General features: G+C 41.2%; 1 protein-coding gene and 1 pseudogene across 25 annotated transcripts in view, besides 3 other annotated features; one reads left to right on the forward strand and one right to left on the reverse strand.

Moving 5' to 3' along the window:
* Positions 264-764: an enhancer, noted in NCBI's record as "H3K27ac hESC enhancer chr9:15418920-15419420 (GRCh37/hg19 assembly coordinates)". NCBI's record gives its function as "activates a minimal SCP1, AML or CMV promoter by ChIP-STARR-seq in primed H9 embryonic stem cells {active_cell/tissue: H9 hESC(primed)}" and the evidence as "EXISTENCE:reporter gene assay evidence [ECO:0000049][PMID:30033119]".
* Positions 3,945-4,234: a silencer, noted in NCBI's record as "silent region_19780". NCBI's record gives its function as "represses an Ori minimal core promoter by ATAC-STARR-seq in GM12878 lymphoblastoid cells {active_cell/tissue: GM12878}" and the evidence as "EXISTENCE:reporter gene assay evidence [ECO:0000049][PMID:35858748]".
* Positions 4,218-19,211, forward strand: part of SNAPC3 (small nuclear RNA activating complex polypeptide 3) — a 43,860-nt gene continuing 28,866 nt past the window's right edge. For 24 of the 25 annotated variants that reach the window (NR_161447.2, NR_161438.2, NR_161450.2 and 21 more), the window contains exons 1-3: positions 4,218-4,535; positions 5,251-5,328; positions 14,894-14,978. Coding sequence is in view for 7 of the 25 variants with exons in the window: in XM_017015056.3 (XP_016870545.1) it covers positions 4,222-4,535; positions 5,251-5,328; positions 14,894-14,978 (477 nt within the window). In the remaining 18 variants the exon portion in view is untranslated. The remainder of the gene's footprint in view (positions 4,536-5,250; positions 5,329-14,893; positions 14,979-19,211) is intronic. The other variant, NR_161434.2, reaches the window with a different exon arrangement.
* Positions 4,575-4,694: an enhancer, noted in NCBI's record as "active region_28214". NCBI's record gives its function as "activates an Ori minimal core promoter by ATAC-STARR-seq in GM12878 lymphoblastoid cells {active_cell/tissue: GM12878}" and the evidence as "EXISTENCE:reporter gene assay evidence [ECO:0000049][PMID:35858748]".
* RNU6-319P (RNA, U6 small nuclear 319, pseudogene) lies at positions 13,241-13,348 on the reverse strand (annotated as a pseudogene).

Here is a 19,211-nt window from a genome sequence, read left to right on the forward strand (position 1 = left end):
AGTAGAGGTAAAATTTTGCCTCCTTTACATAATGGCAAATACAGGAGAGCAGATGGCCTCAGCCCCAGTAGCTCCAAGTCACTTGACTTCTATCTTCTCCATTTTCTGCCTTTGCTTGTTCAAACTCTTGCCTCTGTTCCTTCTAACTCTTCCACTGGCAGGAACGGTCTGTGTCTAGGACACATTATTAGGTCCTTAGAATGGATAAAGGGCTTCTTGGTTTATAGATAAAACCCCACAGGAGGATTCCGATTGGCTCTATTTGAGACACTTGATCATCCTTGGACCAACCACTGTGGCCAGATTGGGAATGGTTCTATGACTGGCAGCCCCAGGAGGATCAAAAGTAGTAGGGAAGGTCAGCTCTAATAAACAATACTAGGCTGACAAAAACGATAGATATTTCCTACAACAATGTACTGATAAAAACCAGGGCTCCAGCTGGGCATGGTGGCTCATACCTGTAATCCCAGCACTTTGGGAGGCCAAGGCAGGAGGATAACTTGAGCCCAGGAGTTCAAGACCAGCCTGGGCAACATGGTGAAACCTCTTCTCTAAAAAAATAAAAAAATTAACTGGATGTGATGACAGCGTACCTGTAGTCCCAGCTACTCAGGAGATTAAGATGGGAGGATCACCTGAGCCTGGGAGGTCTACGCTGTGTCACACGCGTCAGTGTGAAGAGACTACCAAACAGGCTTTGTGTGAGCAATAAAGCTGGGTGCAGGCGGGCTGAGTCTGAAAAGAGAGTCAGCAAAGGGTATGGAATTATCATTAGTTTTTTCTTTTTTTTTTTTTTGAGACGGAGTCTCACTTTGTCGCCCAGGCTACAGTGCAATGGCGCAATCTCAGCTCACTGCAACCTCTGCCTCCCAGGTTCAAGCGATTCTCCTGCCTCAGCCTCCCAAGTAGCTGGAACTACAGGCACCTGCCACCACGCCCAGCTAATTTTTGTATTTTTAGTAGAGAAGGGGTTTCACCATATTGGCCAGGCTGGTCTCGAACTCCTGATCTTGTGATCCTCCTGCCTCGGCCTCCCAAAGTGCTGGGATTATAGGCGTGAGCCACGGCACCCAGCCTATCATTAGTTCTTATACGTTTGGGATAAGCGGTGGAGTTAGGAGCAATTTTTTTGTGGGCAGGGGGTGGATCTCACAACGTACATTCTCAAGGGCAGGGAGAATATTACAAAGTACGTTATCGCAAGGGCGGGGAGGGTGTATTGTCATACGGTCAATTGATCAGTTAGGGTGGGGCAGGAACAGATCACAATGGTGGAATGTCATCTTTTGTGGTTCTTCAGTTGCTTCAGGCCATCTAGATGTATATGTGCAGGTCACAGGGGATATAATGGCTAAGCTTGGGCTCAGAGGCCTGACACGCTGCGGTGAGCCTTGATTGTGCCAGTGCACTCCAGTCTGGGTGACAAAGCAAGACACTATCTCAAACAAACAAACAACAACAAAACAACCAGAAGGCCGGGCGCAGTGGCTCACGCCTGTAATCCCAGCACTTTGGGAGGCAGAGGTGGGCGGATCACCTGAGGTCAGGAGTTCTAGACCAGCCTGACCAATATGATGAAATCCCATCTCTACTAAAAATACAAAAAAATTAGTCAGGTGTGGTGGAATGCACCTGTAATCCCAGCTACTCAGGAGGGTGAGACAGGAGAATCGCTCCAACCCAGGAGGTAGAGGTTGCGGTGAGCCAAGATCGCACCATTGCACTCCAGCCTGGGCAATAAGAGGGAAACTCTGTCTCAAAACAAAAAAAAAAAAAAAAAAAAAGAAAGAAAAAAAAAACCAGAGCTCCTATGGAAACACAATAACTTTATTTAAAAATTGGTAAAGAACTTGAATATACATTTCCCCAAAGAAATATGCAAATGGTCAATAAGCACATGAAAACGTGTTCCATCAATATAATTAGGGAGATGCAAATAAAAAGTCATGAAACACCATTTCACACTCACTGACACGGTTATAATAAAAAGTTCAGATAAGTGTTGGCAAGGATGTGGAGAATCCTGCTGGGGAGGGGAGTAAAATGGGACAGCCACTTTAAAAAAATCTGGCAGTTCCTCAAATAGTTGAAAATAGAGTTCCATAAATACAGAAATCCCTTGGTATCTGCAGGGTGGACTGTTTCGAAGACCCCTGTGGACTCCAAAATTGACAGATGCTCTTCTTGCAGTCAGCCCTGTGGAATCCGCCCATAGGAAAATTCCTCTTATCCTCAGGTTCTGCAACCTGGGAATACTGTAATTTTTGATATGTGGTTGGTTGAATTGGAGGATGCAGAACCCACAGATAGGGAGGGCTGACTGTATACTACTGGGCACATGCCCAAGAGAAATGAAAACGTATTTGCACAAAAATGTGTACATGAATGTTCATAGCAACGCCAAAAGGTAAAAACTTTTTGATAAATAAAATGTGGCATATACATACAATGCAATATTATTCAGCCAAAAAAGGAATGAAGTACTGACACATACTACAAAATGGATGAACGTGTTACAGGTGGCAGGTATCCAAGTTACCAGGGCAAATCTGTATGGGTCTGCAGCAACTTCAGTTCTTGCCTCCTCAGAAGAAAGAATTTGACCGAGGGGCAATAAGGCACAAAAAGAGACTGAGGCAAGTTTCAGAGCAGGAGTGGAAGCTTATTTAAAAGGCCTTTAGGAAAGAAAGGAAAGCACGCTCGGAAGAGTCCCAAGCTGTCACTGAGGTCAACTGTGATATTGACCTCGATCCTAGGACTTTACAGGCTGGCTCCTTTCCCATGATTCTTCCCTTAGGGTGGGCTGCCTCCATGCGCAGTGCCCTCCTTACCCTTGGGAAGTGAGCACAGCGCAATATGTATGAAGTTGTATGCGTGCCCATCTGAGGCTTTCTTCCCTTTTCCGATAGAGTCCCCCTGAAAGGTCATACTCCCCGATTTTGTCTCTTAATGCATATGCCCAGGAAGTTGCTTCTCCCTGTCACCTGCATTCAACGAGCACTTTAGTGCAACAGGTGTGGGCCATCAGGAAATGGCCTCTCCCTGGCACCGGCTGCCAATTTATCACTTTTAGAGGCAATGTGATAAATGCCTAAGCATCACCCCACATTCCTAGTGGGTGAGGGAAGAGCCCTCTCCTGCCCTGCTCATGCCTAACTACCTGTAACAAACCTTGTAAACATTAAGCCAGCCACCAAAAGACCATATAATTCCGTTTATATTAAATGTCCAGATTAGTTAAATCTAGAGAGACAAAGTAGGTTCTTGGTTGGCTAGGGCTGGAGGAGTTGGGAGGATCAGGGGTGATAGCTAAAAAGTACAAGTTTCTTCTTTCGAGTGGTAAAAATGCTCTCAAATAGTGGTGATGGTTGCCCAAGCCTGTGAATATACCAAAAATCACTGAACACTTCAAATGGGTGAATTATATGGCATGTGATTACAGTCTAATAAATAAATAGTATGTCCTGCTGTATCCTTCAGGGCCTCTGAGAAATGGAGAGAGCTCCATCTGAAGCCAGACTGAGTTCCGATCCTGCTTCTATTTTCCCCGCAGGTAAATCCTTCCTCAACAGCAACACGGGGTGATACGCCCTATCCGGAAAGGTTGTTGTAATTTTTAAAAACATTAAAAACATACATTAGGGTTAATCATGTAGCGTGTGATACACAGACGCTCTGAAACACTACTGCACACGCACACCAACATGGGGCCTCTGCGGAGCTTGTGAAAGAACCAGATCTGGAGGGCTGGTCGTGTCCCTGGTCTCGGCCCTCGCCCTCCTTGTTTCTTAGGCTCTAAAGCAATCAGGCAGCAGAGCAGTCCTTGAACCCCAGTCAAGAAAAAGCCCTGCACCCCTTAGTCCGAAAGCCGCAAGGAACGGGGCCTAAGCGCCTGGCGAGGCCGCCCTACCGGGCAGAGACAGTTGCTACGTAACTCGGGGACCAGAAACCCAGCCCCACCCGCTGCGGTTAACCGACAGCCGCAACGGTTCCCGCACCGCCCGGGTCGGAGAACAATGCTGCGCCCTGCACGTAGAGCCTCGCGGTGCCGCGCCCTGGGGCGGGCCTGCCCATGGCCTGCCGGGAAATGTAGTTTCTGATGCCCTGCCCGCGCCGCCTCGCCGCTCGCCGGCCGGGCGCCCCAAGCAACTACAACTTCCATCACGCTCTGCGAGGCCTTGATCTGCAGGCTTTTGCAGGGGAAGGAGTGGGGCGAACATGGCTGAAGGAAGCCGAGGTGGCCCTACGTGTAGCGGGGTGGGTGGCAGGCAGGACCCAGTCTCCGGCAGTGGCGGCTGCAACTTTCCAGAGTATGAGCTTCCCGAGCTAAATACGCGCGCTTTCCATGTGGGCGCCTTTGGGGAGCTGTGGCGGGGCCGTCTGCGCGGGGCCGGGGACTTGTCGCTGAGGGAGCCGCCGGCATCCGCTCTGCCTGGGAGCCAGGCAGCTGACTCCGACCGGGAGGATGCCGCGGTGGCCAGGGATCTGGACTGCAGCCTGGAGGCGGCGGCTGAGCTGAGGGCGGTGTGCGGGTGAGTGCGGAGCAAAGGGGCTCTTGCAGCTTGGGGTCAAACAGGGTGCAGCCTTGCTCGTGCGCTCCTCTGGGACTCATCCCTGAGAAGGGCCTGTGGTTTAGACCTGGGCTAGGAGTATTACCCTTTAAAGCTTTCAACCCGCTGGAGCCTTCCTGGGACACCAGGAGAAGTCCTGGGACCCGAATGCACAGTTTCTACGAGTTGGAGCAAAGGGACAAGACAGCTGCATCAAAGACTAGTTTTTCCATTTGCTTATTCTAAGAGTGCTTGTTAATAAAGAAAAGCAATCAGGGCAACAGCGACGTGTACCTGCCATTGACAGACACTTTGACAATGGAGGAACCTGAGTAATGGTGAAGCTGCGGGAGACTTCATCAGAGGAGTGTTAAAACCCCGACTAACTGGTTTCTTTTGGGGACCTTCCGGGTATTCTGTTACTGAAATATTTCTTAAAAGTGCCTTATTTGGGGATGAAAATATAAAAATAACTTTAATCTCTTTCTCCATTTAACAGTACTGGCTGCCTTCATCGGCCTTTTCATTATAAAATATAATCACAGAAATCGTTGTCTTAAGTTCTGGCCTCTCTGAGCCGCCTGCTGGATTTTATCTGACTTCGTAATTCAGTAATGTATTTAGGAAAACAACCCTAACTCGCTGTGAACCAGATGCAGAGTCGACCTTAAAGTATTGCTTTTCCTTTTTGTTTTAGCCTTGATAAACTGAAATGCCTTGAGGACGGTGAGGATCCAGAAGTCATTCCGGAGAATACTGACCTGGTGACTTTGGGGTATGGAGGACTTGGTTTTTATGACCTATTTATTTAAACATTTTTTCAACATTATGTTTTGAAAAGTTGAAAGTGCAGTATTGATTGTTGTCTGTATACCCACCCCTTAAATTCAGCTGTTCTTAATATTTGACCATATTTACTTTAGCCGTGTGTATGGGATGCCTGCTGTGTGTTTTTTCATTTTGCTATCCCCCATTCAGTAAGTTAGACATGATAATTTACCCGTAAATACATAAGCATATAGCTTCTAAAAGTATCATTCTCCTACATAATTATTGTGGTATTATTATACCTAAGAAAACCGTAAATACATAATCTATAATATTCAGTCCATATTCAAACTTGTGTTTATTTTTTAATATTTTTGAATGTTTGTTTATAGAGGTAATCTACTTAGATCTGGGGGGCAACCTAAATACTCTGACAGTGTTTTTCAAACTATTTGTGGTAAAGGACAGTTCTTGTTTTTAAAAATTTTTAATCTTTGACAGATTTATGCTTTGATAAAATACTATAAAAAGAATTACTAGAAAAATGGAATTAAAAAAGACAAACACAATATAAGTTCAAATTTTTAATTAAATTCAATAGACAAAATTATTCAATGATAATGGAAGTTTCTAAATGCTTACTGTCATTTTCTGTACAGATTGGTTAACAAATAGGTCATAGATGAATTCTGGTCTGCCTACCACTCTTTGAGAGGCACTGTTGTATGATAATATAGAGAAATTGTGCATGTAATAGTGAAATTTATAATTTCCAATTTATAGTCCACTTATTTCATACTACCTCAGCTATGTTCTGTCGTTCTTGATCCTACGCTATTATCCCCCTCAAATATTCAGGCAGTCATTTCAACTCTACTTGGGTTTTCTTTCATAATAACTGCTAAATCTGTTCCCCTGGTCCCTACTGCTGACTTTTACAGCAGCAACACCTGGAGCACTGTGCAAGGTTCTTAAGTGTCTTTGATAAGTACAGTCATTTCTCCCACTGATTTATCCATCATGCTGTCGCCTGAGCAAGCCATTTTGCTTAAAAATGGTCTATGGCCCTACATCTCCTATATGGAAAAATTTCAAACTCCTTAGCTAGACATTTGAAGCCTTCCACATATATCCCAAATTTGCCTTTCCAGATTTATTTTCAACCACTTTCTCTTTCAGATGGCTCAGGATGCATGTGGCCTCTCTCCCATCTGAAACATACCACTTCTATGTTATGTTATGTTACGTTATTTTTTTGAGATGCAGTCTCACTCTGTTGCCCAGGCTGGAGTGCAGTGGCGTGATCTCTGCTCACTGCAACTTCTGCCTCCGGGTTCAAGCGATTCTCCTGCCTCAGCCTCCGGAGTAGCTGGGATTACCGGTGCCTGCACCCTCGGCTGCCTAACTTTTTTGCATTTTTTGTAGAGACGGGTTTCACCATGTTGGCCAGGCTGGTTTCAACTCCTGACCTCATGTGATCTGCCCAACTCGTTCTCCCAAAGTGCTAGGATTACATGCGTGAGCCGCCACACCTTGCCCATACCACTTTTTTAAAAGCCCAAAGATTCCTTTCCAGATTACCACAACCCATCTTTCCCTTAGGAAACAGATGCATTTATACTGCCTTAAACTCTTAACATTTCTAAAGTCCTTGAAGGCTCAATGAGAGTCCAAACTCCCATCTGTGTATTGTTCTCAAGCCTACTATACTGCCTTGCTCCAATTGGTGCTCTGTAACTATTGTTGATTGATTAGTTGTATTTGTCTAAAATGCACATCTGATTGTCACTCCCTTGCCTAAAACCTTTTGATGTCCCTTAGGCTGAAGTCCTGAGTCTGTAGTGGCTCACAAAGGCCTCTAAGGAGTGGACCTTGCTGTTTTCATTTTGTTTTGTTTTTGAGATGGAATTTCACTCTTGTTGCCCAGGCCTGAGTGCAATGGTGCGATCCCGGCTCACGGCAACCTCCGCCTCCTAGGTTCAAGTGATTCTCCTGCCTCAGCCTCCCAAGTAGCTGGGATTACAGGCATGTGCCACCACGCTTAATTTTGTATTTTTAGTAGGGACGGAGTTTCTCCATGTTGGTCAGGCTCCATGTTGGCCAACCTCTCGTGATCCACCCACCTCGGCCTCCCAAAGTGTTGGGATTACAGATATGAGCCACCGCACCTGGCCCGACCTTGCTGATTTTTTTTAAGCTTTCTCTCTGCAGTGTTCCAGCCACACTGCACTGTGTTTCAGTTCCTCGAATATGCTCTCTCACTCCAGGCCTTTGCCCAGAACAGTCATTCTTGCTTATCTCCTGACCTTGTTGACTTCTACTCATCCTGCAAGTCTTAGCTAAAGGACTACGGACTCCATTTAGGTCATCTTGTATGCTCATGTAGCACCCTATGCTTCCCTATTGAAATGCTCATCACATCTGTAATATACGTGTTTAATTTTCTGTCTTCTTAGCTACACTTGAAAGTTCCTTAAGTTACATCTGCCACACTCACTGCTATATTACCAATTCCTAGAACTGTGGTGCATAGTAGGGAGCCAACAAATATTTGTAGAATGAGTGGAATAAATGAAACTTTCAGAAGACTCAGGAAGTGATTTTTAGAGATAGACTGAAAAAAGAACGTTGATGATAATCATATTAAAGCAGACTCTTTTTTGCTATAGTTAATAATGTATTCATTGATTTATAGTAATTTTGTTAAGCCATGTTAAATAGTAATTTTAAGACTGCTTAAACATTATTTCCCTTGACTACTTTGCACTACTAGGTCAACTAGATCTCTTTGGTTTCTTCTAGTCCCTCCAAACAGGATTTGTGGGTAGAATTATATATAATCTAATGTAAATCAGTACGGTATTCTTCAACTGGGGTTATTTTGATATACTGTGAAGCTAGTGTATTTAATACATGACCATTGTTAACCTTAATGGTCCTGCCAAAAAAAAATTAGACTTGTGGCAAAAGCCTAAATTTGTATCTCTATGCTTTATCTTTCTCTGAACCTTCCTTTTCCTCACCAATAATTTCACATTATTATATTATAAAAATAAAACATAAGTACATCATTTCTTTATTATGACATAAAATAAATTTCTGGTACTTTTTCTTTCCCACATCAAATGAAAGAGCTCGTTTTATGCATATAAGGGACCAAAGGTAGTTGGTAGATATTGATTCTTCCTTGATACATGTTGCTCCCTTAATCTATAGCAAACTACATAGCTTTGGCAGTTTTGACATTTTTTTTGACTACTTAGTTGGTTTTAATTCCTAGGAATAGGAGAGATAATTGTTAATACATGGGTGCTGCTAAAACTTACTTGTCATTCCAAAAGCTTCAGCAACATCACTTATTTATTTGTTTATTTATTTATTTTTAGACAGAGTCTCACTCACTCTGTTGCCCAGGTTAGAGTGCAGTGGCTCAATCTCTCCTCACTGCAACTTCTGCCTCCTGGGCTCAAGTGATTCTTCTGCCTCAGCCTCCCAAGTAGCTGGGATTACTGGCGTGTGCCACCATGCCTGGCTAATTTTTTATATTTTTAGTAGAGATGGGGTTTCACCATTTTGACCAGGCTAGTCTCAAACTCCTGACCTCAAGTGATCTGCCGGCCTTGCCCCAAAGGGCTGGTATTACAGGCGTGAGCCACGACGCCCAGCCCTTCAGCAACATTACTTTTAATACAATAGAAATTTTAGATTATTCTGCCCATCCCCCTCACTTTTGTGACCAAGAAAGCACTGTTTACAGGTCCAGGATGTACTGTTTAAAGGTTAACAAAAGGAACTTACAGAGTCCTGCAAAAACAAAAAACAAAAGAACCATGAAATTGGAGAACTCAAAACTCCTATTCCACCAAACCAACCACAAATGATTTTTTAAAAAAACTTAAACAGGGTGGAGTGCTTGAGGTCAGGAGTTCAACAGCAGCTTGGCCAATATGGTGAAACCCCACCTCTACTAAAAATACAAACATTAGCTGGGCGTGGTGGCACCCGCCTGTAGTCCCAGCTACTCGGGAGGCTGAGGCAAGAGAATCACTTGAACCCGGGAGGTGGAGGTTGCAGTGAGCTGAGATCGCGCCATTGCACTCCAGCCTGGGTGACACAGCGCAACTCTGTCTCCAAAAAAAAAAAAAAAAAAAAAACTGTCAAACAGCTCTCATATATCTGAAGTTGGCTAGAATGACAGAAAAGAGCACCATCAAACTGGGAATCTTGTAAACTATCACTGTGCCCCAGATGTTACAAAAATGAGCAAGAGGAAATAAAATCTAACGAGAGCTTGTTGCAGATAATCAGGAAATAACTGTTTATACAGATCAACTTTGGAGACTACCTGTTCCACTCGGAAACAGGTAAAGCCTGTTAAGTCTAGCCGGTCGTGGTGGCGGGCGCCTGTAGTCCCAGCTACTTGGGAGGCTGAGGCAGGAGAATGGCGTGAACCTGGGAGGCGGAGCTTGCAGTGAGCCGAGATCACGCCACTGCACTCCAGCCTGGGCGACACAGCGAGACTCTGTCTCAAAAAAAAAAAAAAAGAGAAAGCCTATAAGTCTGTACTCCAAACAGAATTGAATATACTCAAATAAGCATTTGAGGGTATAAAAATGTTTACCTTGGCTTAGAATTTTTAAAACTATTAATAAGAATGGAAATGATGACTAAAGGAGAAATGAAAAAAGAGTTGATGAAACAAAGGGAAGAAATGGAAGAAAAAGACAATTACCTCATAAGTGAATAAATTGTAAGATACCTAAGGGAAAATAGACTGAAATGAAAGCAAGAGGCAATGAAGAAAGGCATAAAAACAACGAAGAGAATTGAAAATGACAAAGAAAAAAGTAAGATGAATCCGAGAAAGTAGGGAATGGTAGGTAGATAGGCAAAGACATAATATTCATATTATCAGAGTCCCTGAAGAAGAAAAAGAAATGGAACATAATTCATGTTTAAAAACATAATCCAGCAAAAGTTTCCAGAAATTGAAAAAAAAACTAAATCTAGAAAGGGTTCCCTAGGTACCTGGAAAAATTAACCCAGACTTATTGACTTTTGGGATATATTTTAGTACAACTATTAGATTTCAGAGATAAAGATGAAATCATCAAGTCTTCTGTGCAAAAAGAACATATAACTTACAAAGGCAAACTTACAAAAAGCATCACATGTTGAAAAACTGACATACAAAGCAAGGCAACATAGAGCAGTGTTTTTTTTTAAAGCTCAATGAAGGTGTGAATTGAAGGATTTTATATCTAACTGAATGTTCTCAAATGTCAAGGTTATAGAAAAAGAGTTTTCGACATAACGAAAACCTGGGTAATTTCTGTACCTGCTGGCCATTTCTGAGGAATATACAAGAGAATGAGCTTTATCCAACCAATTGATGACTGGAAAATTTTCAGCAAAAGGACTAATACAGAGAGGATGAGGGTGGAAGATTTGTGTAACCGTTGGGTATTGCAACAAAGTACAGTATTGCAACTAAAATGATGGAAGGAGAAAAATGGATAATGTGTGGGCAATAGATGGGTTTTAAAGACTACTGCAGAGGAAAAAAAACCTGACACACCAGATAGTAAAGTGTTAAATAAGAAAATGGGTAACTCTAGGATTTAAAAAATGTGAGTAGAAAGGTAACCAGTAGAACAATAATAGAAATATCAACTCCCCCTCAATTTCTAAAAATTAAATGGAAAAGAAGGGTATGCATTTCATAATGAAAAACAGCTATTACAACAAAATACAAATAATTAGAAAATATTGTGATAGAGTTGAGACCAAATACATTAGTCTTAAGCAACCTATTAAAAAAGGATTTTCAATTTGGCTTGTAAAACAAAAATCTTGGGATGACAAGAGACACATCTAAAATAAAATGATTCCGAAAAGCTAAAAATAAAGGGTTAGACCAAAGTATACCAAGTAAATGGAAACAAAAATCAAGCAGGAGTAGTGATGCTGATATCAGACAAATAGTATTCAAGCCCCAAAGTATTACATGTGATAAAGGACACTTTTTAATTTATATCTTATGGAGGTACGTATACATAAAATTTGCTCCCTGCTAATGAGAACTGTATGACATGTTCACAAAAATTGATTATGTATTAGGTCACAAAGGAAACATCAATGACATTCATAACATAGAATATTACTAACAGGTTGCGTGCAGTGGCTCATGCCTGTACTCTCAACACTTGGGGAGGCCAAGATGGAAGGATTGCTTGAGCCCTCGAGTTTGAGAACAGCCTCGGCAAGATAGGGAGAACCTGTATCTACAAAAAATAAAAACAATTAGCCAGCTGTGGTGGCACACACCTGTGCTCCCAGCTACTCAGGAAGCCAGGGTGGAAGGATCACTTGAGCCTAGGAGATTGAGGCTGAAGTGAGCCGTGATTTTACCACTCCACTCCAGCCTGGGCAACAGAAAAAGACCCTGTCAAAAAAACAAAAAGAAAATAAATTTCCAGCTCAGAAAACAAAAAAAGAACAACAAAGTAAGTGAAAAGAAAATACTAGAAAGGAAATAATAAAGATAACAGAAATTAATGAGGAAAATAATACTTTTTGTCCGAGCAATCCCATTTCTAGTAATTTATACCAAAGGTACCCCTCCAACAATATGAAAATACATGTGTTCAATACTTACTAGTGATGTTTAGCTTGTTTCTGTCTGCTTGTTATTCCTTGCAGTATTGTTTGTAATTGCAAAATATTTGAAATACCTTAAATATACAGACGTAGGAGAGGAGAGTGTTGAATACGCTATGGGAAATCCACACGGTAATATTTTGCAGCTAGAATAAAGGATGAGGAAGGATTAATTCAGAGTAATTTCCAGTACATTCTATTAAGTGAAAAAAGCAAAGTCCCAAAGTATATGCCACCTTTCATGTAAGAAAGGTGTGCCAGGTGTAGTTTATTGGCTCTCATCTTCAAATTTACCTCTTTTTCCTGCTCTGTAAAAATGGACCTTGGCCTTTTAAATACTTTTCTTTTGCCAACTAGCACATCCTTAAGCTTTGTCAGTGAAGGGCAATGGAGAGACTTCTCAGGAGTCTCAAAGGTTTTGCTTCCTGATCTGATGTGCTGGCTCAGCAGGATCCTGCAGTGCACACAGCTTCCCCAGTGCCCAGCTCCTGCAATACACTGCAGTCTGAAGCACCCCGCGCCCAGCAGCTTTCCTGCCAACCCCATTTCCCTCCACAGCTCCCCTGAACAGGTTTTCCTAGTGCCCTTGAGGGTGGATTTCCAGCAAGTTCCACTGATGCAGTACCATAGCAACTTCTTTCTCCAGCTCGTCTGGATCTCTGTCCAGGAAGAAAAAAGGACTTCCCTGCGCTCTTTCTCAGCCCTAGGGGTAGGGTGCTCCTTCTGTTTGCTATTATTCTATACTTCAGTGTTCCCTTTTACTGCTTCCTTGCCAATCCCTCATTATTCCAATCCTCTGTTAAAGTTATTGAATCCTTAACCTTTGTTCAAATTGCTGTTCTTTTTTTCTTCCTAATTGAACTCAGATTGATACAGGAGATAACAGAGTATACACAAATATCTGTTTATTTGAACAAAGGAAATGGAAAGGACAAACCAAAACTATAGAGACTGATTGCCTGCAGGGGTGGGTGGGAAAGGGGTGGAAAGAAGGGAGGGAATGGGAACAGGTTAGTAGGAACAAAGAGGGAGTGACACTTTTGACTCTTAGGATCATAGTAATGTGTCACATATTTTTCACACACCCCAAATGTAATCAGACAATTAAAACCAACTAGGATGTAGGGGGAACCCAAAACTGAATTCAAAAACTAAAAAATAAGGCTAGTTGTATTACGGATGTGTAATATAACACCACTGAAAAGGGTGGGGAAGAAAGAACTAAAGTCTGTATTAAAGCCTGTCTTTTTTTTTTTTTTTTTTTTTTTGAGCACTTCATGAATTTGCATATCATCCATGCACAGGGGCCGTGCTAATCTTAAATATATTGTTCCGATTTTTAAATAATAAAATGCTACCAAAAGCGTATCTTGATATAATGTAAAGGTGAAGACAGAACTGTTTATAATTTAGTGTTTCTCACAGGGGTATAGGTTAGCAATTCTGTAACTATTTTATGTATTTACTAGAATTGAACAAATCATAGGTTGCCAACAGTGAAAGCTGGATTTCTCACTTGTGGAGAAAGACGTTATAAACAAGGAAATGTTAAAGGCTAAAATGAATCCTGTGGTTTTAGTTTGGGATCAGAAGTATCAGTATAAACTCATAGTTTTAAATGTATGACAGTAAAATACAGAAATACAGATATTTATACATGTATAGGTTAGTATACATACATATATTTCCTGCCTATCTCAGCTGAGAGGCCTAGAAGCAGTGACTCCAGTAACAATGAGAACGCCTAGAACCCAGATACTGGTCTCTAAACACCTTTTTCCAGTAAAGGAACTAGGGCTCTTACAAGTGGTTGATTCCGGGGACGAGACAAGAAAAATATAGGATGGGCCTTGAGCATCTTGTGGTGCCGGAAAGTAAGGGAATATTAAAAAAATAAAAAATAATTTTAAAAAGGAGAGGACTTGCTGAAAGAACGGGAGCTCCTAATGATAAAGCTGTACCAATTTGAACAACAAAATAGTGATAGTATTAGATTTTAACCCCAGAATAAAACAATTATCTGTAGGTTCATACTAATAGAAATGATGAAATAAACAGATGGGAGGAAAGAGGCAGGTCTTCCTCAAAATATAATTCCAATGAATAAATGTAGAAGATCCAATGAATAAATGTAGAAGAAAGTAAAGACAGAATTGCTATTAGGCATACAGCACAGTAATAAATGTTGCAGACATAATCTATCAGTGAATGCTAAAATTCATGGGTGAAGTTTGAGGAGAAACAAGATTTGCATAGTGTCAAAGTATCTCCCCCAAAATATTTACCAAGTTCATAGAAAATAAGGTGTCTTTCTGGTGCAGGAACCTGGCAGACAGAAACAAGCTAAACATCACTAGTAAGATGTCATATTAATATCATGAACATCTTGATATGATATAATGAGAAGGGCATCATTGTAGTATTCTTACCAAAATGCTAAATTTATTCCTATCATGAGGAACTAGCGGTCAAACCCAAATTGAAGGACATTCTATAAAATAACTGATTAGAGCTCTTTGAAATTGTCAAGATCGTGAAAGATAAGGAGAGACTGAAGTATTTTAACAAACTCAAGGAGACTAAGGAAAAATAACAGATGCCATGTGGGATCCTGGATAGGAATCTGGAACAGAAAAAAAAAAAAACGAGTAAATTAAAAATTGTGTGAAATTTTAAAAAGGCGTATAGCTAATAATATTGTGTAAGAATTTATTTCCTGTTCTTAATTGTCTCATGATCAAGTAAGATGTTGACATAAGGGAAGCTGAACAAGAGATAGAAGGGAACTTTTTCCTGCTTTTGCTACTTAAAATTAGTTCAAAATAAAAAAACTTGAATGTTAAATATGTTTTTGAAGCCCGAATAACAAATGTTGAACTTTGATTTTTTTTTTTCTTTTACATCTACAACAGGGTTAGAAAAAGGTTCTTGGAACATCGGGAAGAAACCATTACAATAGATCGAGCCTGCAGACAAGAAACATTCGTTTATGAGATGGTAATTAAGAGTCTCATCTTTTTCACCCTTTTCTCTTAAAACAGTAAACCGACATTGGCTGAGGGTTAGTAATGACAGTATGGTAGCTTTATACTGGATATGCTTAGTTGAAAACAAACTAGAGAAACTCCTTTGAGTCTGGGAACTAGTGAGAGAAGAGGACCCTTAGAACTCAAGTGACCACATGTTTGACTTTTTCAGATCTCTGCCTTTATTCTTGTTTGGTTTTATCTTGCTTTCGGTATTAGGCTAAATTTATGCCTTTTCACTACCCTATTTCTGGTCTTTTTGTTCTGCTCCTGATTTTGGTTTAACCACATTCTCAATCCTCATCTATTATCTCTTGTGTAAAACTTTGGGAAAATTTAAGATGATGACTCTTGAGGAATTAGGAGCTAGTAGACACGATAGGTTCAGAATCAATGTGCTAGGCACTGTGCTGGCACTTGATCATGCATACGGGCACCTATTGTCTCTCCCACTTATTTTACTTTTATTGTGGTAAAATTTACATAACATAAAATTTACCATTTTGACCATTTTAAAGTGTTCAATTAAGTGGCAATAAGTACATTCACAATGCTGTAAATCATCACCATTTCCAGAACTTTTTCATCATCCCAAACAGAAATTCCATACCTGTTAAGCAATAACTCACCAGTTTTCCCTCCTGCAGCCCCTGCTAACCTCTATTCTACCTTCTTTCTCTATGAATTTGTCTATTCTAGATATCTCATGTAAGTGGAATGCTTTTTTGTCCTTTTCTGTATGGCTTTTTTTTTTTTTTTTGAAACAGAGTCTCGCTGTGTCGCCCAGGCTGGAGTGCAGTGGCGCCATCTCGGCTCACTGCAGTCTCCGCCTCCTGGGTTCAAGCGATTCTCCTGCCTCAGCCTTTTAAGCAGCTGGGATTATAGGTGCCTGCCACCATGCCTGGCTCATTTTTGTATTTTTAGTAGAGACGGTTTCATCATGTTGGCCAGGCTGGTCTCGAACCCTTGACCTCAAGCAATCTGCCTACTTCGGCCTCCCAAAGTGCTGGGATTACAGTCGTGAGCCACAGCACCCAGCCTATGGCATATTTTACGTAGCATAATGTTTTATAGGTTCATCCATATTGTAACGTGTATTAGAACTTCCTTCCTTTTTATGGCTGAATACTATCTATTGTATGTATACACCACGTTTTGTTCTATTTATCCGTTGATAGACATTTGGGTTCTTTTATCTTTTGGCTATTGCGAATAATGCTGCTATGAAAATTGGTGTACAGATATCTTTTTAAGTCCTTTTTCATTTATTTTGCGTCTGCCCCTAGGAATGGAATTGATGGATTGTATGGTTAATTCTGAGAAACCTGTTTTTCATAGCAATGATACCGTATTACATTCCCATCAGTAATGCATGAAGGTTCCAATTTCTCCATGTACTTGTGAACATGTGTTTTCTAGCTTTTTTTTAATAATAGCCATCCTTGTGGGTGTGAAGTAGTATCTCATTGTGGTTTCGATTTGCATTTCCCTAATAACTAGTGATGCTGAACATCTTTTTATTTGGTTTTTGGCCATCTGTATATTTTCTTTGAAAAAGATCTATTAAAATATTTTGTCCATTTTCAAATTGGGTTGTTTATCCTGTTGAGTTATAAAGAGTTCTTGGCCGGGTGCCATGGCTAACGCTTGTAATCCCAGCACTTTGGGAGGCCGAGGTGGGTGGATCACCTGAGGTCAGGAGTTCCAGACCAGCCTGACCAACATGGCGAAACCCTGTCTCTACTAAAAATACAAAAATTAGCCGGGCGTGGTGGCATCCCCCTGTAATCCCAGCTACTCGGGAGACTGAAACAGGAGAATTGCTTGAACCTGGGAGGTGGAGGTTGCTGTGAGCCAGTATCATGCCACTGCACTCCAGCCTGAGCAACAGAATGAGACTCTGTCTCAAAAAAAAATTAGCCGGGCGTGGTGGCAGGCGCCTGTAATCCCAGCTACTCTGGAGGCTGGCAGGACAATCACTAGAACCCAGGAGGTGGAGGTTGCAGCGAGCCCAGATTGTGCCATTGCATTCCAGCCTGGGCAACAGGAGTGAAACTCTGTCTAAAAAAAAAAAAAAAAGAGTTCTTTGTATATTCTGGATTCTAGACCCTTACCATATAAGTAATTTAAAAATATTTTATCCCATTCTATATGTTGTCTTTTTACTTACTTTTCTTTCTTTTTTTTTTTTTTTTGAGACAGAGTTTTGCTCTTGTTGCCCAACCTAGAGTACAATGGAGCAATCTTAGCTCACTGCAACCTCCATCTCCCAGGTTCAAGTGATGCTTCTGCATCTGCCTCCCAAGTGGCTGGGATTACAGGTGCCTGCCACCATGCCCAGCTAATTTTTGTATTTTTAGTAGAGATGGGGTTTCACCATGTTGGCTAGGATGGTCTCGAACTCCTGACCTCAGGTGATCCATGCGCCTCGGTCTCCCAAAGTGCTGGGATTACAGGCGTGGGCAACCACAGTCAGCCTTTTTACTTTCTTGATACTGTTGCTGGATGTACAAAAGTTTTTAAATTTGATGAAGTCTAGTTTATCTTTTTCTTTTGTTGTCCTTGCTTTTGATGTCATACTTAAAACATTGCCAGATGCAGCATCATGAAGATTTTCCCATATGTTTTCTTCTAGGAGTTTTATAGCTTTAGCTCATAAGTTTGTCTTTGATCCACTTTGAGTTGATTTTTATATATGATGTAAGGTAAGGGTTTGATTTCATTCTTTTGCATATAGCTGTCTATTTTTTGCAGACTGTCCTTTCCCTAGTGAATGATCTTGGCCCTTTTGTCCAAAGTCAGTTGACCATATAAGTTTCATTGTTACATTCTATCGGTCTAGATTCTAACCTAGAACTACACTGTTTTGATTACTTTGGCTTTGTAGTAAATTTTGAAATCAGGGAGTGTGAGTCCTCCAACTTTGTTCATGTTTTTCAAGATTGTTTTGACTATTCAGAGTCCCTTGAAATTCCCTATGAATTTTAGGATGGGTGTTTCTATTTTTGGAAAAAATGCCATTGGGATTTTGATAGGGATTGCATTGAACCTGTAGATTACTTTGGGGGAGTATTGAGATCTTAATGATACCAAGTCTTCCAATCCATGAATGAGATTTCTTTCCATTTATTTAGATATTTAATTTCTTACAGCAGTTTTTTTTTTTTTTTTTTTTGAGACGAAGTTTTGCTCTTGTTGCCCAGGCTGGAGTGCAATGGTGCGATCTTGGCTCACCGCAACCTTCGCCTCCCGGGTTCGAGCGATTCTCCTGCCTCAGCCTCCTGAGTGGCTGGGATTACAGGTGCATGCCACCATGCCCGGCTAAGTTTTTGTATTTTTAATATAGATGGGGTTTCTCCGTGTTGGCCAAACTGGTCTCCAACTCCCAGCCTCAGGTGATCCGCCTGCCTCGGCCTCCCAAAATGCTGGGATTACAGACGTGAGCCACCGTGCCCAGCCTATCAGCAGTGTTTTATACTCTTTATGTATACAACCCTTTCACTTCCTTGGTTAAATTTATCCCTAAATATTTTATTCTTTTGAATGCTATTGTAAGTGAAATTGTTTTCTTAATTCCTTTTTTTTTTTGAGACAGTCTTGTTCTGTCACCCAGGCTGAGTGCAGTGGCACAATCTTGGCTCACTGCAACTTCCGCCTCCCGGGTTCAAGTGATTCTCATGCCTCAGCCTCCTGAGTAGCTGGGACTACAGGCGCCCATCACAATGCCTGGCTACTTTTTGTATTTTTAGTAGACACAGAGTTTCACCATGTTGGTGAAGATGGTCTTGAACTCCTGACCTCAGGTGATCCACCCACCTTGGCCTCTCAAATTGCTGGGATTACAGGCGTGAGCCACCGCACCCGGCCCTGTTCCTATTTTCTTTAGTGTTTTTATCATGAAAGGGTGTTAGATTTTGTCAAATGCTTTTCTGTGTCAGTCGAGGTAATGATCTGTTGTTTTTTTTTTTTTTTTGCCCCATCATTCCATTAGTGTGGTGTATTATATTGATTGACTTGCTAATGTTAAATTACCCTTGCATTTTGAGGATAAATAAATTCCACTTGGTTGTGGGATTCAATAAAAATTGTAATCATAAAAAGTACCTTTTCTTATCATAACTGAATGACATTAGAAATCAATAACAGAAGAAAAGTTGGAAAATTCACAAAAATTAAACACATTTGACAAAAGCCTTTTCATATG

The sequence above is a fragment of the Homo sapiens genome, chromosome 9 (assembly GCF_000001405.40).
Source record: "Homo sapiens chromosome 9, GRCh38.p14 Primary Assembly".
NCBI classification, from domain to species: domain Eukaryota; kingdom Metazoa; phylum Chordata; class Mammalia; order Primates; family Hominidae; genus Homo; species Homo sapiens.